Genomic DNA, 25625 nt, shown 5'->3' on the forward strand with positions numbered 1-25625 from the left:
AGCTGCCCCTCCACATCCACCGTCCCTGGTCTTTCCCGACTCTCTCCTGGGGAAGCTGCCAAATCACAGCTCTTGATTTCCTGGTGAGTCACAAAATAGTTGCTCATTAACCTTTAGTTGACTTAAGTTCTTATCCATTGATACATTTTCCCCAGCAACTGGAGACATCATATTTATAATAAACATTCACTTCTGGGGATCTTGGAGTTTGCAGCCCCCTCTCATTCTCTCATGGAGCAAACATTTCCTTCACCTCCTCATCTGTCCCTGGTCCTGACAGCATCCTGGAGATACTGAGGCACAGCAGCAATGACCTACCTAGAAGCTCACAGCCAAGGCAGAAACTTCCAGCATCTCATGGATCTTCCAACACTCTGTGCGCACTTGGCAAATAAGGAATTTCATTGACCTCTATCACTCAGAGGTTGTGGGCTGTGGTGGGACCCGCACCTGTCCAAGGTGTGCATTATCACCTGTACAGTGGAGACGAAGAGGGAACTTGCATTGGGTTCTGGAAAGTACTGTCTAAAAATAGATTTAGACCTACACCAGAAATGTCCTCTCTAACATAAAATATTTATGATAGGACACATTAGAGGCCTAGACCAAAATGAAATACCTCCCTCCAGAGCCAAGATAGAATGGAGGAGGGGACTGGGGACCCCAGATAATTCCACAGTTACCAGCATGACTCTATGGTCACCTCCCAGACCAGGTCAAAACCCATCCCATAGGAGGGACTTCATATTCCTTTGTAAATACAGACAAAGTCACCTCTGAGCTCTGCTGTGACCAAGGGAGCCCAGGAGTGAGGCTGAGCACAGTGTGATGTGGGGATGTGTGCAGAGAATATGGAATCAATTCATAAAGGAGATCCTGTGGGCAAAGGGTGGGAGGGCAAGGTCACCCCTAACCTCTTTGGGTCCCTTGGGGCTGTGCCCTTCTCGAAATCACAAGGCTCCTCCAGCAGCAGCCCCTGACTCTGCTGATTGGCATCATGGACCCTTCTCTCCAACAAGGGGTTGAGAGACCTGGGAGGAGCCTGCCCAGCCTCAGACTTGAGAAGCAGCATTGGAGGCACTTCAGCCATGGCCTGGCCCCTCTTTTCCTTGGTCTCCTGACTCACTGCACAGGTGCTGCCCCCAGGGTCTCACCCACCTGCCCAGCCCCAGGCCTCCAGGTTCAGCCTGGCCGTCAGTCTGAGCTCAGCAGGGCCCTGTGTGTGGTGGGCAGGATGCTCGTGACCCTGCTGCAGGGGGAGGGGCTGGTTGGGGTGAAATGCCCCCACTCTGTGCTCCTGTGCTCATAGGTGCCCTGAGAGCTCTTTTATTCCTGGGGCTCACTCCAGCCCTGGCAAGTAGCCAGATATCCTTGGGTTGAGACCCTCAGTTTCAAGTTTTTTCTGTCCCCTTTTCTTTCCTTGTAGGCTCTGTCACCTATGAGCTGACACAGTCACCCTCAGCGTCAGTGGCCCCAGGACAGATGACCAGGATCACCTGTGGGGAAAGCAGTATTGGAAGTAAAAGTGCTCAATGGTACCAGCAGAAGCCAGCCAGGCCCGTGTGTGGGTCATCTATGGGGATAGCGGGCGGCCTTCAGGGATCTCTGAGAGATTCTCTGGCTCCAACTTGGGGAACGTGGCCACCCTGACCATCAACAGGACCCAGGGTGGGGACAAGGCTATTACTGTAAGATGTGGGACATTAGCACTCCTCATCCCACAGTGACACAGGGAGATGAAGGAGCAAAACACAAAAACCTCTTCCATTGGTGTCACTCTTGTCCTCCAGCCCAGGAAGACAGTGGACAAAGCCATGAGTGTGTGTTGCCCAGTTAACCTGGATGTGAGACCCCCAGGCTGCCCTTTCCACAGGCCCTCCAGGCAGGCTCTGCAGAGGGGGCATCAAGAGTGAATTTAGGGCTGAGATGACCAGGATATATTGAGGTGTGGAGGAATCAGTTGTGATTTGGGGAAGTGGGGCCTGGTTGGAAGATCAGACCAAGGTCGACATGCTTAGTTGGGCTCTGGATTTCCATAGGGGGTGAAGGCTAGTCCTTGGGCTGAATATCCTGAGTCAGTTTCCAGAACTGCCCAGCTCACGTTCCCGTGGCATCCTGCCATTCTCTTCAGGAAAACCAGTGGAGTGGACACTGTGGGATCCACCCATATTCCCTCTTCTGAGCTCACCCACCCAGCACTGCTGGTAGCTCTGGCAGCTCAGAGCTGTGCCCTCACTGAGAAGGGCTGTCAGCAGAGAAAACTGTCTCCTCCAGGTTTATGCCCCTTCTTAGCAAGGTGTGGTTTCATAACTGCCTGAGGTGAAGCTCTCAAGACTCCCTTTCAATATGGGAGAAACAGAAAATCCTCCCAGCTTCACAGCTCCTTATTGGGATGGTAGAAGACTCAATGTGGGTCAGAGTGTCCTTGTGCCCGGTGTTGCCTCCCTCACTTAGTTTCACACCTACTGTGAAAGCAAAGCTCCATCTCAGAGTCTGCTTCCAGGCATCCCAAAATAACATAACCAGTCATCCCGAACGTGAGCCATCAGGAACCTCAGGAGGCCACAGTATACCAGAAAGCACCAGTTTATTCCTAATGATCATTGTGAGTTTGCAAATGCCCAATGAGATCTGAGTGTTTCTTGCATTTGTATGGAATGAAAAGGGCCCTGGCATGCCAGGCACTGTGGGGTCTGAGGGAGAGTTGGAGTCAGATCTCCCTGCAGGGAAACCTGGGGCAGGAGGAGCAGCCTCATCCCATGCAGGGACCACAGATGCACCTGCAGGGTGAGCTGCAGGATGGACACTGCCCACCTCCACCCTCCACATTCTGTGCAAAAAATCATTCTTTCCACCCCTCCTTCAGCCTATCAAAGTTGACACTTAAAAAGCCACCACAGCCCACCCTTGTCAACAGGAAACCCATTCACATCTCCATCAGCCACACAATCTCCACATAAAGATTCTTCAAAAAATAATAACACTTGCCATGCAAAGTATATATATAAGATGTCTCAAATAATTGTACTTAGATTGCATATGAAAGTGATACTATTTTGATATGCTAGGTAAATAAAGTAAATTATTTAACTCATTTACTTCTTCCCTTTGTATTTTTAATGCGATGACTAGACATTCAGATTTCCATGAGGCTCACATCATATTGTGAATGAACAGTGCTGGTCTGCACCCCTTCAGGTTACAGTGGCTGAGGAGTGACCTGGTGCAGGAAGCCCCATCTCCATCCATAGGACATTGGTGTGAACCCAGGGAGAGGCGCTGGTGTAAGAGAGATGAGAACACAGGTGTGAACCACCTGCTTGTGCAGGGGACTGAGCCTTCACTTTGAGCCAAACAAGCTTCTTTTCCTATCTTCAATCCTGAGCAAGAGGACTTTCCGGACTTCTTTTTGTTTTCAGGTTTGTGCCCCTCCAGGCCTGAGGCTGTCTGGATCCCAGCCAGGGGACACAGAGGAAATCCAGAAGTCTCACACCGACCCTGTTGTATTTCATCTGCTGGGGCCATCCCAAACTGCTGCGTACCATTTCCTTTCCTGGTGCTCAAATAGCTGCTCTATGCACTTGTCATGGTTTCAGAGATGACTCTAGGTGGGAAGACAGGATAATGTATGTTATTATATTTAAAAGGAACTTAAATTCATTAATATTTATTTTAATATGAATCATTAAAAAAATTTGTCATAGGCAATGGGGAAGGAGGAAAAGATATTAAAATTATTTTGAGGAAAAAACCAAAATTGTATTTCTCGAATGTCTGAGTGTCTTCAGTGTCTCAGGGTTGACAGCGGTCAGCTTTAGGTTGTCCTGAGGATGTACTCCATTGGGGGAAAGCAAGAAAGCATGAAACACACATCTCTGTGACCTGACACATAAATCACAGTAAAATGGAAGTAAATCTTTTAATAAATCAAACACTCACAATAAATATCACTCTGGTGAACACAGAAATGCCTGTTAACAAACTTTCCCTTTCCCCTGCTGGCTCATATCCCCATGGATCACCTGTGTGCAGAGTGGACTCTGTGGTCCCCATTTCTCAGGCTGAGAACCAGAGGCTGGGAAGGACAAGTCACCTGCTTGTGAGTGGCAGGGGAAGGATTGGGAGCAGTGGACTCGGTCTCAGGACTGCGGCCCTCAGGACCAATGCCACCTAGCAGAGGTTTCCACGGGGCGGGCTGCCCCATTTCCTGACAGTAGGGACAACCTGGAGGTGGGTGCCAAGCAGAGGGCACTGCAGGGTGTGCCCAGGCCTGGAGGGTCACAGAGACACAGGCACCACACAGCAGAGACACTGAGGGCCAGAAGATCACTCAGGTAAGGGACTTCAGCAGATCTTTCTCCTGAGCAAATCAGGTACAAAAAAATTAAGATCCTGCCATCAGAATAGATAAACAAGGACTTTAATCTCAGCTGAGCTCCACTATCCAAGGAAGCAGAAGCCTCTGAGCCCAGGCCCAGGTGAGGGTGGGGTGAAGGGAGGAGCTCAAGGTGGAGATTTGCATGCAGGCCCCACCCTCCTCTTTGGCAGAGGAGATAAGACAGGGCTGGGGGCAGGCCCAGTGCTGGGGTCTCAGGAGGCAGCGCTCTCAGGACATCTCCACCATGGCCTGGGCTCTGCTGCTCCTCACCCTCCTCACTCAGGGCACAGGTGACGCCTCCAGGGAAGGGGCTTCAGGGACCTCTGGGCTGATCCTTGGTCTCCTGCTCCTCAGGCTCACCGGGGCCCAGCACTGACTCACTGGCATGTGTTTCTCCCTCTTTCCAGGGTCCTGGGCCCAGTCTGCCCTGACTCAGCCTGCCTCCGTGTCTGGGTCTCCTGGACAGTCGATCACCATCTCCTGCACTGGAACCAGCAGTGACGTTGGTGGTTATAACTATGTCTCCTGGTACCAACAGCACCCAGGCAAAGCCCCCAAACTCATGATTTATGAGGTCAGTAATCGGCCCTCAGGGGTTTCTAATCGCTTCTCTGGCTCCAAGTCTGGCAACACGGCCTCCCTGACCATCTCTGGGCTCCAGGCTGAGGACGAGGCTGATTATTACTGCAGCTCATATACAAGCAGCAGCACTCTCCACAGTGGTCCAAGTTCCTGGGGAACTGAGACCAAAACCTGCCCTGGGCTCTCAGGCCCCCTCCTTGCTCTGAAGATGCTTCCTCACCCAGTGCAAGCGGCTTCCTGCAGTGCGGCCTTGAGAATTCTTCTCTCTCAGCTCCTTCCCTTTCCACCATGAATTCCAAAAGGAAACCCGCTCTGTGGTTTCTCATCCAGGACAGGGACAGCTTCCTGATGCTTGTGTGCCGCGGTCCCTGAATGTGCAACTCTTGTTAGCTCTTCAAATGCAGGGACAGTGACAAGGAGCTTCCTGATTGATGCAGTCACTGCTTTTTTCAGGGATGTCTTCACCCTACATGCATCACCATCTCCCACACTGTGGGTAGAATTTTAGCAACTACATTCTGATGGTTATCGCCACAACTTTGATCTTAAATAACAATGCAGCGAACATCCCTGTGCAGCCTCCTTTGAGTTCCTGTGTGAATATGACCACAGGATTCATTTCTAAAAGTGAAATTGAGGGTCAGAAAGATGTGTGTGTGTAATTTTCACCCGTTGTTGTCAGATTCCCCTCCAGAGGGATTCTACCAATTTTCAATGCCAGCCGGAAGTACTTGTTCAGAGTACATTGTTGAAAGTGGAAGTTTTTGCCAACCTGTCAGACTCAAAAATGATACCTGTTATGGTTTTATTTTTGAGTCTCCTGTTCTGCTTAAGTTTGGGCCTTTTCAGAAATAGTTCAGTACTTTTTCTTTTTTAGGATTTGGGAAACTTTTTCTTAAATATCCAGATAAGAAGAATTTTAATCTTCGTGGCCGGACACCGTGGCTCACGCCTGTAATCCCAAGTGTGTTGGAAGGGTAGGATGGGTCAATTGCTTGCTCCCAGGAGTTGAGATTAGTCCGGGCCACACAGTGAACTCTCATCTCTATTAAATTAAAGAACATAAAAATAAATTTTAAAAGGAAGTATTTTAGTCTTTGTGGCTCAAGAATCAACTTTGGGGATATTCCATAGGTATGTATAGCATCATTTACAATGTAACCATTTAAAATGATAAAAGCCACTGTCAGCTCTAGGCCATACAAAAACAGGTGTCAGGCCAGGGATGGCCACAGGATGTGGTTGAACAGTCCCTGGTTTGTAGGGTTATCTGAGGGTTGAAAATTCCACCAGAATATGATCTAGGTGGGAATCTCTCTGTGAGGGTCACTGTATTTCACCTCCTGTATTAGCCTGAGGTCTTTCATTGGATAAGAACATGCTCACATCATCTATTTGATTGTATCATGGGTTTAAGACAACCCCGTGTCACAATCACATAACATTTATCTGCATTGCTTGCTCCGAGTTTTGGGAGAGCTTTAATTTATCAGGAATAGACTCCTCCTAAGGCAAAAGTCTGAGAGAGAGGGATGGGCATGTGGGCAAGATAGTTTGTACCAAAGCTGGAATATCCAGGGCAGGCTCAGAGAGAAGGTTACTAATATCAGCATTTGACTGCAGCCAAAAACAGAAGAGAACATGGAGGTTCTGAGAATGACAAATAAACAAATAGTTTAAGTTTTAAATGTATTGAATGTTTTTATAATCCATGAAAATTCTAGAACAGAATTTAACAATGGGATAAGGAAGAGAGCTTGAGATGTTAAAACTATAAAGACCCCAAGCCAAGCTGCCAGGAAAAGAACAGGATCTTTTTGGTGGAAATATGTTTCTGCTGCAAATTATTATTTTATGTGTGTGTGTGTGTGTGTGTGTGTGTGTGTGTGTGTGTGTGTGTGTAAGGAAACCTCCCATGGAACATCCTTCTTCCCTACAGTCAAGATCACCCTCACCCTACAAGGGAACCTAAACAAAATGTCAATATCAAATAGAAAAAAATAATGCACTTTGTATAACCATTAGAGAGTCTCTATTTGCACATCAAAATGTGGATGCTTAACGTTAACATTGGAAATAGTATTTTAATATGCATATGAGATGAATTTTCTTTAGACTATTTTTGTGAATTATCTTTCTTAATAAGGACATACTCTTCTCTTAGAACAATTTAACTTGTGATATTTTTTCTATTTTCTGTATCAGTTCTGTTTTTTCTAAACACTGGCAAAGATATCCTATGGCTACTGATTAATAAATTAGATTAATGTGTATTTAACTTAGGTAAGTTAGTTCAAGAGTGGACAGATGTGATTTCCCCACATATCCTATGGCTACTGATTAATAAATTCAATTAATGGGTATTTAACTTAGGTAAGTTAGTTCAAGAGTGGACAGATGTGATTTCCCCACATATCCTATGGCTACTGATTAATAAATTCAATTAATGGGTATTTAACTTAGGTAAGTTAGTTCAAGAGTGGACAGATGTGATTTCTCCACATATACCTCACAGATGTTGCTGGTGCTTACTCACTCTTCTCTTCTAATCTTAGCAAATAAAGTGGGAAATTTGACATTCCTAAACACCCAGATGACAACAGGAGAGAGGAGGTGAAGCCCCAAAGCTGTTATTCTTTAAATCCTCAGGATGAATCACCCTGGAGAATCACCCACACTTCAGTTGGATGATACGCAAATGAGAGTTTGGTCTTAGAGTGGTGCTGAGTTAGTTCAGGATTTGGGTCACTGGGATGGGGTGAATGTGTTTTACAAGTGAAAAATACATGAGTTTTGGGGTCTGCAGGGTAGAGAGTTCTTGGCTGAATTGTGTCCCCCAGATCTGGGTTGAGTGACATCCCACCAAGAGGAGTCCAGGAGAAGTAAATTTGTGTAAACACCAAACATGCACTGCCCCACTAGGCCTGAGAGGAAATAAGCGAGGCCTGGGAAGCCCACCTGTGCTTTGGGTTCAGGAGGCAGAGCTCTGGGTGTCTTACCATGGCCTGGACCCCCTCTCTGCCTCTCCTTCCTCACCCTCTACAAAGGTGATGCCCCCAACCCTGCCTTAGGCTCAGCCCTTACAGGATCCTGAGCTGGTCCTGCCCTGAACCCTGAGCTCAGCCTAGGCATAGCCTCAGGGTGACACCACTGGAAATGTGTTTGTTATCTTCAAGCCCCCTCTCCTTTCCTCTCCTGCAGGCTCTGTGGCCTCCTATGAGCTGACACAGCCACCCGCGGTGTCAGTGTCCCCAGGACAGACAGCCAGGATCAGCTGCTCTGGAGATGTACTGAGGGATAATTATGCTGACTGGTACCCGCAAAAGCCAGGCCAGGCCCCTGTGCTGGTGATATATAAAGATGGTGAGCGGCCCTCTGGAATCCCTGAGCGATTCTCTGGGTCCACCTCAGGGAACACAACCGCCCTGACCATTAGCAGGGTCCTGACCAAAGGCGGGGCTGACTATTACTGTTTTTCTGGTGATTAGAACAATCTCACAGTGACACAGGCAGATGGGGAAGTGAGACACAAATCCATTTTTCATCTGTCTCATCTTTTCCTCCAGCACCAGGATGACTGTGGGCCAAGCCATGAGCAGGTCTGGCCAAGTTCTACTGGATATGAGACCTCCAGGCCATCCTTTTGTTCAGCCCTACAGGTTGGTGCTGCAGAGGGTAGAGCAGGAGTGGATTTAGGGCTGCTATAATCAGAATTTTCTTGTGTTTTCAGGCCCCTGAAGTGACTTGGGGAAATAAGAACGGGATGGAAGATGAGAGAGATGTAGAGAACAATCACTTGGCCTTAGATTTCCATACGATGGTGATTGGGTCACTCCTTCCAAATATCTTACATCAGTCCCCAAAAATGCCCAGCTCAGCTCAACACCTGAGCTTCCAGGCTTCCATGGCAGCCTGGGATTTTGAACAGGAAAAGCAGAGGAACAGGAAAAGCACTGTGGCATCTGCCTAGATATGCTTTTCTGAGCTCACCCACCCTCAACTGCTGGGAGCTTCTAGAAGCTTAGAGCTGTGCCCTCACAGGAAAGTGCTATTGTTTCCAGAAAACTTCCTTTCTCATATTTAGGCTCAGTTTTGAGAGTTTTGGTTTGATGACTGCCTGAGCCAAGAACCCAAGGCCCCGCCTTAATACAGGATGACACTGAAAGGCCTTCCAGCTCCAGACCTCCCATTGTGGATGCCTGAGGCCTCAGTTGCAATCTTATGATGGGTCAGGGTCTCCTTCTGGTGGGTGATGCTTCTCTCACTCCTTTCAGATTCTCTGTGCATGAAAATGTTTATCTCAAAGTCTACTTTCAGGGAACCCAAACTAAGACGGCCAGCTGTCACCAAAATGAGCCACCATAGACCTGAGGTGGCCACTATACCCTGGAATGCATCAGCGAATTTCCTAAATTTCCACTGTGAGCATCCAAATGCCCAACGATTTCTGAGAGATCCTTGTATTCTTATAAAATGAAAAGGGATCCTGAAATGCCAGGTGCTCTGAGTCCTGAAGGAGAGGTGGAGGCAGATCTTCCTGCAAGGATTCCACGGAAAAGGGAGCAGCCTCACTCCATGCAGGGACCAGAGATGCTCCCACGGGGGCAGCTGTAGGATGGATGCTGCCCACCTCCATCCTGCACATCCTGCACAAACAATCACTCTTTCACCCCTCCTTCAGCTTATCAAAGTTGACACTTACGAAGCCAGCACAGCTCATCCTTGTCAGACTCCTTCAAACCTCCATCAACCACACAATCTCAACATAAAGAATCTCCCCAAAATAATAATAGTAACAAAATAATAATAATAATAAAATAATAGTAACAAAATAGTAATAGTAATAGTAATAGATTTTCAGGCACAGAAATAGTAATATAGTAGCTATGAAAACTTCTATAAAAATCTCATAAATAATTTTAGATTGTGTGCATGTGTAAATATTATTTTTCACACTTTGTGTTAAATAAAGTATATTATTGAACCTAGTTTACCTTTTTATTTTTTATGTCTACTATGGTGACTAGACAATAGGATTCACATGAGACTCACATCATGTTGTGATTGTACAATGCTGATCTGGTCTTACCCCTTCACATGACAGGTGCTTTGGAGTAACCTGCTTCAGCAAGCCCCATCTCCACCCATAGGACATATGTGTGAAGCCACGGAGAGGCACTGGTGGAAGAGAAATAAGAATATGGGTGTGGACCAGCTGTTTATGCAGGTGACTGAGTGCTGGAGCCCTGACCCTGCTCTAACCTAGATGTGTCACATCCATCTCACCAGAGACCACTCCTGGCCTGCCTGAGCTCACAACTGGGGGGAAATCGCATTTCTGGCAACATGGTCACTTGATGTCCAGTGTTATCCTGTCTCTCCCAGGGCCCAGTAAGACAAAAGAAGCTGTTTTTAGAAAGGGGAGTAACACTCTACTGCACATGACATGGCCTTCTTCCAAAAACCCAGGAGTCTACATTGGGATTCTCCAACGGGGTTTGCCATGTGCAGGAGGTTTTATTTCCCATGGTGGAGTCTGCTGGATTCTCTGGCCCCAACAGCAGGACACTCACAACCCTGCCTGCACCTGCTGCAGAGCCTTCCTGCTCTGGGCCTGGAAAACAATGGGTGACATTTATGGCTCCTGATACATGGATTGGAGTCACATCCCCAGTAGTAAAATATGCTACTCCTAGATCTTATAGGCCTTGTGTCTCTTTCTTCCTGGGGAAAATTGAAGGTTATAATAACATCTTTTTTTTTTTTTTTTTTTTTTAAGATGGAGTCTCGCTCTGTAGCCCAGGCTGGAGTGCAGTGGCCCGATCTTGGCTCACTGCAAGCTCCACCTCCCAGATTCACACCGTTCTCCTGCCTCAGCCTCCCTAGTAGCTGGGACTACAGGCACGCGCCACCGCACCCGGCTAATTTTTTTGTATTTTTTTATTTTAGTAGAGATGAGTTTTCACCGTGTTAGCCAGGATGGTCTCAATCTCCTGACCTCGTGATCTGCCCGCTTCGGCCTCCCAAAGTGCTGGGATTACAGGTGTGAGCCACCGCGCTCGGCCATAACGTGTTGTTTATTTTGTAGGAGACTCTCAGCTGCTCCAGACAACTAAAGTCCCAATTTCAGCTAATATGGAGGAGGAAACATCTTTGTTTATTTCCCACTCTCAAAAGTGCATGGATCTCACAAAAGCTTCCAATAGGCCGTGCCCATCATGTACATGTGATTGAACTATGATATCCAGATGGTCTGAGCCCCCATGATGATATCATGATAGGGAAGGGAGAGCTAATGAAGCTGGGCAGAAAAAGTGTGAATGTATACTGTTGTCCATTCCACGTGAATGCACACTGATTCTGATCCTATTCTCTGAGGACAATAGACAAGACCTCAGTATCTGCTTCAGTGGTTTAACTGTGCACCTGCAGCCATAGCATTCTGTTCCAGGAGATCCCCATCTGGCACAGATATTGCTAATGCCACTATTGCCCATCTGGGTCTGTACAAATCCAAATTCATCTTCCAGGATCATTCAACTATTGTAGAGATCAGTCCAGTAAACTGAAAGTGAGGACCCCAGAAGTAATCACACGTACTGCAGGAGAGGAGAGAGCTGTTTCAGAGGCCACAATCCTGTTGAAATTCCTCTGCTCCTTGGGAAGAAACAGCCCAGAAAAGGCCCCAGGGGCTGCGTCTCATCTGGGTTCCTGGATGAGGCACACCCCCTACTGCACTGAGATTCCACAGAAGCTGGGGGTGAAGTGCAAACACCGTCTTTGGTTCATCCTTGGGATTTTCTTTTTATCACACACTCGTCATTTTGTCCACAATGTCCAAAGTTTCTAAAGTGCTGTCTAATAGATAGAGGTTCTTTGTGCGCTGAACTAAAAGCTCTTGGGTTGGCTAATGGTGATGTTTGCACATTTTTACTGTACTTACTGCCGCTTAATTACACACTTAAAAATGATTAAAAGGATGAAACATTTTGTTATGTTTATTTTACCATAATAAAAATATTGCATGCTCAGGAAGCAAAGTAATACTAGTTTAATTTTGAAATCACACAACTGGTAAAAATGGAAAGAAAAGCACCATTTTCTCTGTTCTATATGCTACAACTCAACTTTCTCTCTCTCTCTCTTTCTCTAATTAACAATGATATCCTGTCTGGTCCAAGGTCACACATTTCCAGTGTTGCAGGAATGTCTGTTGAATCTGCTAATTTGTTGCCAGGAAGAATACTCAAACTTCTCATGCTCATATTTGATTGTCAACTGTCTCCAGCCAACATTTCTAAACCAGGATCCTTTGACAAGACTTGTGAAGAATTTTGTAAAAAGTACCCCCCAAGATGACAGTGTTCGCTGTTGGCAGCAGGACTGTTTCCACGCAGTAGGGCTATGCTGGGTGTGCAGTGGAGCTGTGCACACTGTGCTCACGGGGCAGATTCTGTGCTGCTGACTCTGATCCCTGTGCTTGGGAGGACCGTGTCCACTGCTGAGTCTACATCTGAATTTGATTCTCAAGAAAAAGGTCATTCATAGCTGCTGGACACTGAGTCACACAGAGAGACAGAAGGTGGCTGAGGACACCTTATCTCTGATGAGAATAAGGGGATTAGATCTGCTGGTGGAACAGGAAGCTGAAGAAACTTCTGGCTCTAAACATGGAATTTCCAGCCCTCTGTCTCTGCTGTCCATGCCCTTCTCATCTGTATGTTCCTGGGAGATGTGGACCACGGGGGTCAGAGGTGAAGGGGATTGGGAAGCTTTCATGTTCTCTCTCACCATCTCCCTTGTTTATCTAACACACTCTTACACACCTACTTTATTAGAGCTTCTGCTCTACAAACATGGCTGAGCTCTAAATTAGAGACTTTTGAAAGTGCAGACGGATGCAGGAACTCGTCCATCTGGAGACTTTCCACCACTTGAAGCAGTGAACACATCTCTGCAAGGCTCCAAATTTCAAGTGACAGGATTTTGGGATTTCAAAGAAAACTAAATCTTTGGTGAACCACGACAGAAGAGGGAAGGTTCACACATTTCCCTGCTGCTTGGGCCTCAGTGAGGACTGACTCAGCCAGTCTCAGGCTCCTGGAAACCTCCTAGGAGATGTGCACTAGGAAAGTCTTTTCAGTACAACCTGGGGCAGGTAAGTGGCCCTTACTCTGATATTCTGCTCCCTGATAATTTTGCTTTCAGAGAAGAACAAAGACCTGTGATTCTGGGAAGTTCAAAGCCCCCAGACAAGGTCTTCTCATTCTCCCGTGACAGCCTGAGCTCTGCATTCCCAAAAGGAGGAGCATCTTCCCGGCATGAAGAGCCAGGAGTAGAGAGGGAGCTTCTCCCAGGGGTGAGCAGGGCAGAAGCCACCTTGGTCAGTGGGAAGGAAACGTGCTCAGCTCACATCTGACCCAGAATGACTCAGTCACACCCGTGCAGGGTCACCTGCATGTGAGCATCATCTATTTGCTCCATGAGAAAATACCTTGTGTGACTCTTGGGTAAAATCATACCGTAGGTGACATTTCTCTGGCTATTGCTTCAGCCAATGTTTTTCAAAATTCACTGTAGGACACTTACATAAGGTAAGCATGTCAGGTGTGGGATGTGTTGAATAGGAAAAGCACAGGCTTCCTGTATCAATGTTCATGGCTTGTATTCATGGCCATAACTCGTGGAAATGGAAAAAAAAAAAAAACAGAAAAGAAAATGATACCCTGCTCAAAAAAGCACTGAGAAATACCATTGTAGTAATATATCTTCAACTTATAAGTTGAGCTAATTGAACATTAACTTAGATAGATCATTTTTATGGGGGGATTCCTAAACCTAAAACATTGTATTAAAAATTTTGTCAGGTTAAAAGATCATTAAAAGGCCAATGTTTGATTAAAATCTGGAGTCTTTTACTTTGGGCTGCAATCAGCCAATGAGTGCATGGAGTTGGCTGCCCTCCCAGACCCTGACTGGCTCCACGTCGAGGTAGAGCAGCGCTCCCGACAGGCAGCTGGAGGAACTGACGAGGGGAAGCTGTTTGCATCAGGGCCTCAAAAATTTGGCTCAGGATTTTCCCACGTCCCCTCCCCAAGCCCAAGCTGGTCCCAGGACACTCAGAAGAGCTCATCATTATGGGTCTAAAACTTCTCTGATCTCGCTCTTCTTTCTTCCTTCCCCAGAGACCTTGGAATTGTCAGTCCCTCTCACAGGCCCTTCCTTTCCTTGTCAAGTGCACTCCCTGAATTATCTGCTCCTGGGTCAGCAATTCTCTAGAACTTCAGGGAAAGCAGTGCTGGGTCACCCACATGGGGCCCCAGAAAGCTGGCTAAGGACCAGACACACAGGCAGCAGGCTAGGTCCCCACAGGGCTGCATGGTTGGCATCGGGTAGAGGGGAGGGACCAGGAACCACTCGCTGAGTGTCCGTAGGGCCAGGTGAACTAGGGAAGGGCTGGAACCTGGTCAAAGAATTGTGTACTAAGCACCACTTTCTCTGTTCTATATGCTACAACTCAACTTTCTCTCTCTCTCTCTTCTCTAATTAACAATGATATCCTGTCTGGTCCAAGGTCACACATTTCCAGTGTTGCAGGAATGTCTGTTGAATCTGCTAATTTGTTGCTGGGAAGAATACTCAAATTTCTCATGCTCATATTTGATTGTCAACTGTCTCCAGCCAGCATTTCTAAACCAGGATCCTTTGACAAGACTTGTGAAGAATTTTGTAAAAAGTAGCCCCCAGGATGTCAGTGTTCACTGTTGGCAGCAGGACTGTTTCCACGCAGTAGGGCTACTGCAAGCCACACCTGTCCCCACACAGTAGCATCTTCCTGGAGGTCAAGAGTGATTTTGTTTGCTATGCTGCCCCAGATCACCTAATTTATTACCTGTGAATTTCACACACTACACATCCTGCCTGTCCCCAAATTCTTCACTTATGGGCAAATGTCACATCTGACCTGAACTGGTTTACATCCCAGATCCCCTTCAGGCTTCCCACTGTCCTTTCAGATCCTCACACACCCAAGACCCTTCTCCGCAGGGCACAGACACAGCTCCCTGCACACGCTTCCATCACTTGTCTCTTCACTCCTTCCTCAAAGGAACTCCACAGACTCTTCTTCAGGGAGGCCTTCTCCAATCACTGAAGCTACAGCAGCCAGCCAGTCAGCTTCTGTCAGAACTTTCAATGATTAGCTGCATAGAGCTTACAATTACACATTTGTTTTTTCTATCGTTATCTTTTGACTGATTTATTTCTATTAATCATTGCATTATCAGTCAGAAATGCTTTTTCACTACAAGAACACATGTGGCAGGAACCAGGGAGCTTCCAATTTTCTTCCACAAAAATAAGTCTGCACGTGCTTGGTGGTTGTTTTCCAGATGCTCTCCAGTTCCATAGGAAGCTCAAATATTTCTACCTCTCCATTCCCTTTCAATGAGATGTTGACTTTGTTTTCATTGTTGTTGATGTAAGACCTCAGCATGGCTGCTGCAGCTCCAGCTATCACACCCAAGTTCAAGAGAAAAAGCAAAGCACAAACCCAATCTAGTCCTTCCTTCATAAGAGGAAAAGTTTCCTGAGAAGAATCTCAGCCATCTGACTCTTACATCCTATGGACCAACGCTGGGCTACATGGTCACTGCTGGCTAGAAGAAACTGGAAATTTGCCTGACTTTCAAGTGAATAGAGGGGATGACACACAAGTAGAAGGTGGTAGGGAGTATCTGCTGGGTCTGTAAACCCAATCTGCCTACTGCACTGATCCAGCAACAGGACAGGAAACTCCTCAGAGCAAGGACTGTGTCTTCCTCATGCTGAATTCCTAAAATGCATTCTTGCCAGGACAGAGTGGGTCAGGGTGAATATTTGTTGGGTGAATGAGCTTCTGTCTCTGTTGTATTGCAGGAGTCACCACCAGTGCACATTGGCCCTGTATTTGTATCCAGAACCAATCAAAGCCACCCCTGAGTCCTGCATCTCTCAGTACCAAGCTCCAGTCCCCCTTCAAGACCACCCACCACACAGACGTGCAGGGAGCCTCAGGAGGGCACTGTCACCTCCTTCTCCACATGTGAGTGTTTGTATTTCCATCAGGAATCTGAGCACCTCGTGCCCAGGTTTGAGGCAGGAAGGGGCCACAAACAGAAGAGAAATTTCTTCTCTGAAGTCAACAGTCCATGAATCAAGGAATCAGGGACCTGAGCAGCAGATTCTGAAGCTACACCTGAACCCAGGAGGCCCCTGAGCCTCCAGCTGACAGTGTAGAGTGGCCACCTGGGGGCAGCAGAGAGTAACCTGGCAAAAATCCCTGGAAAGGGGGTGGAGCTGGGCATCAGGGAGATGCTGACATGCAGGGAGGGTCAGTGACCATGACCTGAGACCTGGAGGGAAAGAGGTTCCTCTTTTCTTAGAATATTTGTCATTGACACTGATGTTTAAATTCTTCTGACCTCCTGTCTCTCAGATTTGACTCTTGGAAATGGTGCTTATTTTTCTGATACAGATTCAGACAATTTGCCTCTTCTCATTGCCCTGGCCCCCATCTCACTGTCACACATGCCATTCCATTCTGTAGTCACGCGTGTCCCACCTCCCTGCCCTTTTCTCTGGTAGCTCGTCCTGCAGACACAGGGGCTTCTCCTTCCCTGGCCACTCCTCCACGTCCACTGTCCCCAGTCTTTCCCAACACTGTCCTGGGGAACCTGCCAAATCACAGCTCTTGATTTCCTTATGAGGCACAAAATACTTGCTCCTTAATCTTTTGTTGACTTAAGTTTTTATCCATTGATATATTTTCCCAGCAAGTGAAGACAACTTAGTTATAATAAACATTCACCTCCAGGGTCTTGGAGTTTGCAGCCCCCTCTCATTCTCTCACAAAGCCAACATTTCCTTCACCTCCTGATGTGTCCCTGGCCCTGACAGCACCCTGGGGATACTGAGGCACAGCACCTATGACCTGGCATTAGAACTCACAGCCAAGTAGAAACTTATCACATCCCATGGATCTTCCAAAACTCTGTGTGCACTTGGCAACCAAGAATTGCATTCTCCTCTAGCACTGAGGGGCTGTGCCCTGGGGTGGGGCCTGTACTGGTGCAAGGCTTGTGCTGTCCCCTGTAGAGTGGGAAGTAAAAGGTCCCTGCATTGGGTTCTGGATTGTGTCTTCAAAATGAATTTAGGCCTATACCAAACATCTCATGTCTGACATAAAATATTTATGACCAGGACATTTCTAGAGAAGCAGAAGAAAGTTAACCACCTCCCTCCTGAGCCAGGATGGAATGGAGGAGGGGACTGTGGACCCCAGATAATTCCCCCATCACCACTGTGACTCTGGTAACCTCTTGAACAGGGCCAACCACTATCCCATAGGAAGGACTTTATATCCCCTAGAAAATACAGAGAAACTCAGCTCTGAGTTTTTCCATGACCAACTCAGCCCAGGGGCAAAAGTGGGCACAATCTGGGTAAAGATGTGAACTCAGACCATGGGACCAGTGGGTGGAGGAGAATCCCATGGGCTGAGGGGGTGGGCAAGCAGTGGTCACCCCTTTTCTCTCTCTCTCTGTGTCCCTTGGGACTGAGCCCTTCTCTGGAAACCACAAAGCTCCTCCAGCAGCAACCCCTGACTCTGCTGGTTTGCATCATGGGCTGTTCTCTCCAGCAAGGGGATAAGAGAGGTCTGGGAGGAACCTGCCTAGCCTGGGCCTCAGGAAGCAGCATCAGCAGTGCCTCAGCCATGGCCTGGACCCCTCTCCTCCTCAGCCTCCTCGCTCACTGCACAGGTGCTCTGCCCAGGGTATCACCAACCTGCCCATCCCCAGGGCTCTGGGTCCAGTGTGGCCATGACTATGAGCTCAGGAGGGCCCTGCCTGTGGTGGGCAGGATGCTCATGACCCTGCTGCAGGGTGAGGGACTGGCGGAGCTGAAGTCCCCTCAAACTCTGCTCAGAGGCTTGTGAGAGCCTGAGGGGCTGCACCTGCCAGGAGAGAGTACTGGGTTTTCAGTTCAAAGGCTCCATGCAGAGGGAAAGTCCATGGGCCACTGGGGCTAGGGCTGATTGCAGGGGATACCCTGAGGGTTCACAGACTCTCTGAAGCTTTTCCAGGACAGCAGGGCAGGGGATTTCATACGGATCTTTTACCTAAAAGCCATCCTCTCCTTTTTTTTTTTTTTTAATCTTTGCAGGCTCTGCGACCTCCTATGAGCTGACTCAGCCACACTCAGTGTCAGTGGCCACAGCACAGATGGCCAGGATCACCTGTGGGGGAAACAACATTGGAAGTAAAGCTGTGCACTGGTACCAGCAAAAGCCAGGCCAGGACCCTGTGCTGGTCATCTATAGCGATAGCAACCGGCCCTCAGGGATCCCTGAGCGATTCTCTGGCTCCAACCCAGGGAACACCGCCACCCTAACCATCAGCAGGATCGAGGCTGGGGATGAGGCTGACTATTACTGTCAGGTGTGGGACAGTAGTAGTGATCATCCCACGGTGACACAGGCAGATGGGGAAGTGAGACAAAAACACCCTCCCAGCCTCGGTCACCCTCTTGCTCCAGCCCCGGGAGGCCTATGGATAGAGCCATGAGTGAATCTGGTCCAGTTCACCTGGATCTGAGCCTCCCAGGCCGCCCTTCCCTCCAGCCCCCTCCAGGAGTCTCTATAGAGCATACATCAGGCATACACATGGCCTGGAAGGACCAGAATCATCTAATGACTTGGGGCTGTCGTGTGAGTTAGAGAATGAGGGCCTGGGTGGAAAGACAGACAGAAGCAACCTCTGTCCTCTGTCTTACCCCTGGATGGTAATGGGGTGGGGATGAGGCCAGTCCTTAGACCAGCTATCTGGCTCAGTCCCCAGAACCAACCCTGCTGAGGTCCTGGCCCCCAGGCTGTGTGGCAGTCTGTGATTCCCAACAGACCAAACCAGAGGAGGGGACACTGTGAAGTCTGCCCAGGTCCCCTCTTCAATGTGACCCACCTAGCACTGCTGAGAAGCCCAGCAGCTCAGAGCTGTGCCCACAATGGGAAGCGCTGTTGGTTGCAGAAAGCTTCCTCAAGTTTATGTCCTTTCTCAGATGGTTTTGGTTTAATCAACCAAGATCTCAAGTCCCTGCCTTAATGTAAGATGCCACTGAATGAAGGGCCTCCCAGCTCCAGAGCTCCCTGTGTGGACGGACACCTGAGGCCTCAGTGGCAACCCCATTATGAGTCAGGGTCTCCTTCTGCCCACTGTTGCCTCCCTCACTCTCTTCCAAATCTTCTGTGCATGGAAATCATTGCAGTCACCTTCCAGGGAACCCCATCTAAGATGGCCAGCTGTCCCCAACATGGGCTGTCAGCGACCCGAGGAGTCCACTATCCACTGAAAATTCTGGTTTCTGTCCTAAATTTTCAGAGTACATGTTCAAATGGCCAATCTGATGGTTCCTTGAATTTTTATGGAATGAAAAGGGAGCCTGACATGCTCTAGGTTGAGAGATAGTTGGAGTCAGATCTCCCTGCAGGGAAACCTGGGGCAGGCAGAGCATCCTCGCCCCACGCAGGGACCACAGATGCACCCACAGGGTGAGCTGCAGGATGGACACTGCCCATCTCCGCCTTCCACATCTTCTCCAAATGTCACCCCTTTCTACAACCCCAACCCAAATCATTGATCTCCAGAAAAATAACAGTAACAATAGCCATGAAAATCTATGTAATTCATCTCATAATTTCATGTTAACATGTGAAAATGATAGTATTTTGCTTTATTGACATAAATAAAATATACTATTTATCCAATTTTATTTGTCTTATATTTTTATATTTAATGTGGTGACCAGACACTAGGGGTCACAGGAGGATCGTGTCATACTGTTATGGGACAGAGCTGGTCAGGACTCTTTCAGGTGACAGGTGCTGTTGAGTAACCTGGTGCAGGAAGCCCCATCTCCACCAGACCCAGGTGTGAACCCAGGAAGAGGCGCTGGAACAATGGAGAGGAGAACCTGCTTCTGCGGAATACAGTGCCCTTGAGCCCTGCCCCTGCTCCATCCTACGTGTGCCACCTCCATCTCAATGTGGATCATTTCTTGCCCTGCCTGAGGTCATGACTGAGGGGATCTGGCAGGTCTGGCTGTGTGGCCACTGCTGTCTCATGTGGTTCTGGTTGTAACAAAGCCCAGGAACATAGAAGAGGCTGTTTTCAAAAGGTAAATAATAATCTACTGCACATGACATAGACTTGTTGCTAAATCCCATGGGTCTACAGTAGGATTCTCCTGTTGAGGTTTGCCTTAAGCAGAAGGTTTCAGTTCCTTTGTCCAGTTCCTCTATTATGATAGGGTCTGCAGTTTCTCTGGCCCAATAGCAGGACACTCACACCCCCGCCTGCACCTGCTGCAGAGCCTTTCTGCTCTTGGCCCCAAAACAACGGGTGACACAGTTCTCAGACCCATGATTTATGGTGTCAGTATTCAGGCCTCGGGGGTCCCTGACGGCTTCTCTGGCTCCAAGTCTGGAAACACAGCCTCCATGACCATCTCTGGGTTCCAGGCTGAGGATGAGGCTGATTATTACTGCAGCTCACATAGGAGAGGTGGCACTTTCCACAGTGGTCCAGGTTCATGGGGAATTGAGACCCAAACCTGCCCTGGGCTCTCAGCCTCTCTCTTGTTCTGAAGATGCTTCCTCACCCTGTGCAAGTGGCTTCTTGCAGCACCACCTTGAGAATTTCCCCTCTCCCAGCTCCTCTCCTTTCTCACCAGGAAGTCCAAAAGGAAACCTGCTCTGTGATTTCTCATCCAGGACAGTGACAGCTTCCTGTTGCTTGTGTGTTGTGGTCCATGAATGTGCAACTCTTCCTAGCTCTTCAAATGCAGGCACATAGTGAGAAAAGCTGCCTGACTCATGAAGTCATTGCTGTTTTTAGGGGCGCCCTCACCCTAAATGCATCCTCATCTCCCACGCTGTGCAGGCCAATCTGCACAGAAGTCATTACAGGGAGTTTCAAGAAATTGCACCTTAGTCAACTCTGTGTCCACTATGCTCTCGTGAAGATGGCCCTCCTGGCTGGGCTATTCCTCTGTACCTCTGTCCTGAAGCAGTGACCACTGTGAGAGCTGAGCATGTTTTTGAGGGATTAAGAACCAGAGGAAGCTGTTGTTTTTCATTATTATTATTATTATTATTATTATTATTATTATTTTGAGACAGAGTCTCGCTCTGTCACCAGGCTGGAGTGCAGTGGCACAATCTTGGCTCACCGTAACTTCAGCTTCCCAGGTTCAAGCAATTCTCCCTGCCTTAGACTCCTCAGTAGCTGGGATTACAGGTGCCCACCACCATGCCTGGCTAATTTTTGTATATTTGGTAGAAACGGGGTTTCGTCATGTTGGCCAGGCTGGTCTTGAACTTCTGACCTCAGGTGATCCACCCGCCTTGGCCTCCGAAGTGGTGGGAATACACACGTGCGCCACCACACCTGGCTGCGTTTTTCTTATTTTTGTTCCTCTTCTTTGCCTCAATACCTCAGGTTGCTGAGCTGGGGAGATTTTGAGTGACAGACTCAGTATTCTCTCAAAATCCCCCTCTCTCACATCGCTGAGGCCCTGTCCTGGAAACTCTCCAAAAGTGGATGGTCTCCCTATAGGATGGGAGCTTCCAAAATGGCTCCACAGGGAAGAGTTAACCTGAGTTCATTCCTTCCTCCTCATTGACATCCAGCATTTGTAATTTCCATGGCCATCAATACTACTATAGCTGAAATCTTCATTAATCTACTAAAGGTGAGAGTGAATTTCATACATATTCAAACATTAGTTTCATCCAACATTTAAATTTTATGAGTCAATTGGTAAACATAGCCATGATTACATGTAGTTTAGGCTTCATAAACTTTGATTAAATGGATTTTATTTAAAACAATGTAATCATTTTACTATATGTGTATCCTACCTATATCAACATGTTGTTACTTGAAATATCCACAAGAAACTATATTTCAAAAACCAAATTGTATTTATTGTCTATTGTTACATAAAAATTGCTCCCTAATAGTTAGCATATTAAGAGAACACGTGTTTGTGATCTTGTCACTTTGGTGCATCTGGAATTGAGAGCAGCTTAGTTTTGTGGTTCTGGCCCTGGGTTGGTCATGAAGTCGCAGCCAAGCTGTCAGGCCAGGCTGCATTCAGAGGCCAGAGCAGGTGGCCAGGCCCAGCCTGAGGGGCTTCCACTGTCCCTAACCTGTTTGGCTGATTGGAAAACTCAGCGGAAAAGGAGAGAGTGAAGTGTAAGGTGCCTGTCCTGGTCCCCCATGTCAAAGACCATTCCATACATGCACCATTTCTTATTCTTTCCTGCAACATCCTAGGCATAGAGCACTGCCCATTCATTCTAAGGCTGTAGAGTATTCCACAGTAGAATTTTAGCCATGCAACCTCTAATGGTTAACACCATGATTTTGATCTTACAAATAACACTGCAGCAAGCATCCTTATGCCGACTCCTTTGAGTTATTGTGTGCATATGATCATAGGATAAATTTTCAGAAGTGGAATTACTGGGTCAAAATGATGTGCATTTGTAATGTTTACCCATTGTTTTCACATGTTTCACCAGTTTACAATGCCAGCCCTAAATATTGATTGGAATTCATTGGTGAAAGTGCAAATTTTTGCCAACCTATCAGATATAAAAAAGTTACCTTGTTACACTTTTATTTTTGATTTCTCCTATTGTGCTTGAAGTTGAGCATTTGCTCAAATGTTTCAGTGCTCATTACTTTTTAAAATTCGGTAAACTTTTTCTTAAATGTATAAATAAGAAGTATTTTAGTCTTTGCCACACAGGAGTCAACTTTGGGGATACTATGTAGGTACTGACAGCACCATCTGCAATGTAAACATTAAAATATATAAAAACCATTTTAACCCATTAACCATCCCCAGATAATAGCTGATTTCTTATTAGAAGTAATGCAAGCCAGAGTCAGTGGAGTTATATTTAGAAAATATTAAATGAAAAAACTTACTACCCAAAGCAATCTACAAACTCAATGCAATTCCTTTCAAAATACCAATGACATTATTCACAGAAATTTAAAAAAACCTCTAAAATTGGTATAAAACCAAGAAAGATCCTGAATAGCCAAAGCAATACTGAGCAAAATGAACACAGCTAAAGATGTCACACTACTAGAATTAAAATATACTACAAACTATAGTAACCAAAACAGGAAGGTAGGTATTGGCAATCAGACACTGAGACCAATATAACAGAATAGACAACCCAGAAATAAACCCATCTATCATATAGAGCCAATCGATTTTCAACAAAGATGCCAAGAACATACACTGAGAAAATGGCACAATTTTCAATAAATGGTTCTGAGAAAACTGGATATCCATGTACGGAACAATGAAACTAGACACTTATCCCCCTCCATATAAAAAATCAACTAAAAATGGATTAAAGACTCAAATATAAGACCCAGGCTATAAAACTACTAGAAAGGAACTTAGAGAACATTGGGGAAGAACAATTCTTTAGGACATTGTTCTAGATAAAAGTTGTATGGCCAAGAGGCAACAACAAATAATAGAGATATGGGACATCATTAAACTGAAAAGCTCCTGAAAAGCAAAGGAAACAATCAACAGAGTAAAGACAATGTGTAGAATGAGAGAAAATATTTGCAAACTACTCACCTGACAAGGACCTAATATTCAGTATAAGAAAAGTTAAAAACTGAAATAACTCATCAACAACAACAAAAAAAACTAATAATACCATTAAATAGTGGGCCAAGAATTTGAATAGACTTTTCTCAATAGAAGACATACAAACGGCCAACAGGCATATGAGAAAAATGTTCAACATCACTAATCAGCGAGGGAATTAAAATCAAAACCCCAGTGAGATACAATCTCACCCTAGCTGGAATGGCTATGATCAAAAAGACAAAAAATACAAATGCTGATGAAGATATGCGACTTCATATTTTTCTAGTCCAATTCTCTGGGAACAATGAGAGTGCTCTCTTTGCTCTCCCTTTAGTAACTATTTTTCACATGCAAAAATATGGGCCCTACTGGGAAATAATGCCTAAGACCACCAACACCTTAACTGTTTGTTCATCACACTAGAAATGAAACTGTTTTCCAAATAATATTAACATCTATCTGTGTCTATCACCATTGTGTCAATGTTTGTGTGATCCTATAAAGTTTAGAAGGCCTAGAAGAATGCCCTTGCTTTTTGCAATACAAAAATGGCCTAACAGATATAGATGACATAGATATAGATATAGATATAGATGATATAGATATAGATATAGATGATATAGATATAGATATAGATAGATAGGGGGTTGTATCTTGGAATTTGTTTCTCTAAGGGACTTATTTCACATCTAATTTGAAATTATTCTGGTTTTAAACATTATAGAATGATAACACAATTGGTGAACCAATCATTCTGTGTTGAGGTTAACAGTATTTTTTTACTTCAATTCTCACTGAATGAGAGCAGTTTTTATACGGAGGGGCCATGCCATAACAATATCACATACTGGGGTTGTTCTCAGACTGTGAGGTTCTGCCTACACCAAGCCAGGATGAGAATTTTATTTGTCAAACTGCTCTCTCCACTTGTTTGTATCCCATAATATACCCCAAAAATGAGCATAATTTCATTTTTTATGCTGTTTGTTCTTACATTTAATACATGTACCAAAAAGTTGTCTTTGTTTTTAAAATAAAATTTTATGCTATCTTTTAATCTATGTCCCTATAGAAAAATCATGATCCATACACATTTGTTATCACAGAAAGAACAAGATAAATTTCCTCTCTCTCTCATAAATGCCATGACCGCTGCTTTTTGGGATTATTTTTCTTAAATTATTTTTTAAACAGAAATTCATATAACTTACCTTAATCAAATTTCTTTTCAAAGTAATCACATTTCTTTTATGTGAAAAATTATTTACCTTCTTTTATCAAAAATTATCTTAATACAAAATATGTATTGTTTTACTTTTAGAAGAAATGGAAACTATCTACACATTACTAATCTAAAAATACATGCTCTGGGTTTATATGGTGTTAACATGTCTTCCAAATTTTAAGGAATAGGTATTTAAATGTCATGCACTTTGTTTTTAAATTTAGAAAATGTTTCAACCTTTTGCCTGGGCATGGTGGCTCATGCCTAGAATCCCTGCACTTTGGGAGGCCAAGGTGGGAAGATCACCTGAGCTCAAGACCAGCCTGTGCAATATGGCGAAACCCCATCTCTACAAAAAATTTCAAAAATTGGCCAGGCATGGTGGCACCACCCACAATCCCAGCTACTCGAGAGGCTAAGATGGGAGGATTGCTGGAGCCGGAGAAGTTGAGGCTACAGAAGGTAAACTGTTGAGGCTAAAACATGGTAAATATTTAATTGTTCACTTAAAAGAAATGTTGGTTACATTGAAAAGAAATTTGGTTAACGTAAGTTAGATAAATATCTGCTTAAAAAATAATTTAAGCGAGCTGTTAGCACTACTGCATTCCAGCCTGGTCAACAGAGCAAAATCTGTTGAAAGAAAGAAAAAGAAGGAGAGAAGGGAAGGGAAGAGGGAAGGGAAAGGGGAAGGGGAAGAGGAAGACAGAGGTGGAG

At 46.0% G+C, this 25625-nt stretch overlaps 2 pseudogenes, 2 gene segments (V, D, J or C) and 1 further gene, besides 1 other annotated feature; all 5 read left to right on the top strand.

Moving 5' to 3' along the window:
- Nucleotides 1-25625, top strand: part of IGL (immunoglobulin lambda locus) — an 896838-nt gene that overhangs the window by 728043 nt on the left and 143170 nt on the right.
- On the top strand, nucleotides 1435-1719 carry IGLV3-15 (immunoglobulin lambda variable 3-15 (pseudogene); annotated as a pseudogene). Its single transcript is given in 1 exon segment — nucleotides 1435-1719. A coding segment is annotated over 1 exon segment (285 nt).
- Nucleotides 4623-5093, top strand: IGLV2-14 (immunoglobulin lambda variable 2-14). The segment is given in 2 exon segments: nucleotides 4623-4668; nucleotides 4786-5093. Coding segments are annotated over 2 exon segments (354 nt in total).
- IGLV3-13 (immunoglobulin lambda variable 3-13 (pseudogene)) lies at nucleotides 7961-8456 on the top strand (annotated as a pseudogene). Its single transcript is given in 2 exon segments — nucleotides 7961-8007; nucleotides 8162-8456. Coding segments are annotated over 2 exon segments (342 nt in total).
- Nucleotides 16271-16437: a silencer, noted in NCBI's record as "fragment chr22:23112882-23113048 (GRCh37/hg19 assembly coordinates)". NCBI's record gives its function as "represses an EF-1alpha promoter that drives an FKBP-Casp9 reporter gene in an ReSE screen in HepG2 liver carcinoma cells and K562 erythroleukemia cells {active_cell/tissue: HepG2 | K562}" and the evidence as "EXISTENCE:reporter gene assay evidence [ECO:0000049][PMID:32094911]".
- Nucleotides 17715-18464, top strand: IGLV3-12 (immunoglobulin lambda variable 3-12). The segment is given in 2 exon segments: nucleotides 17715-17760; nucleotides 18164-18464. Coding segments are annotated over 2 exon segments (347 nt in total).

The sequence above is a fragment of the Homo sapiens genome, chromosome 22 (genome assembly GCF_000001405.40).
Source record: "Homo sapiens chromosome 22, GRCh38.p14 Primary Assembly".
Classification (NCBI taxonomy): domain Eukaryota; kingdom Metazoa; phylum Chordata; class Mammalia; order Primates; family Hominidae; genus Homo; species Homo sapiens.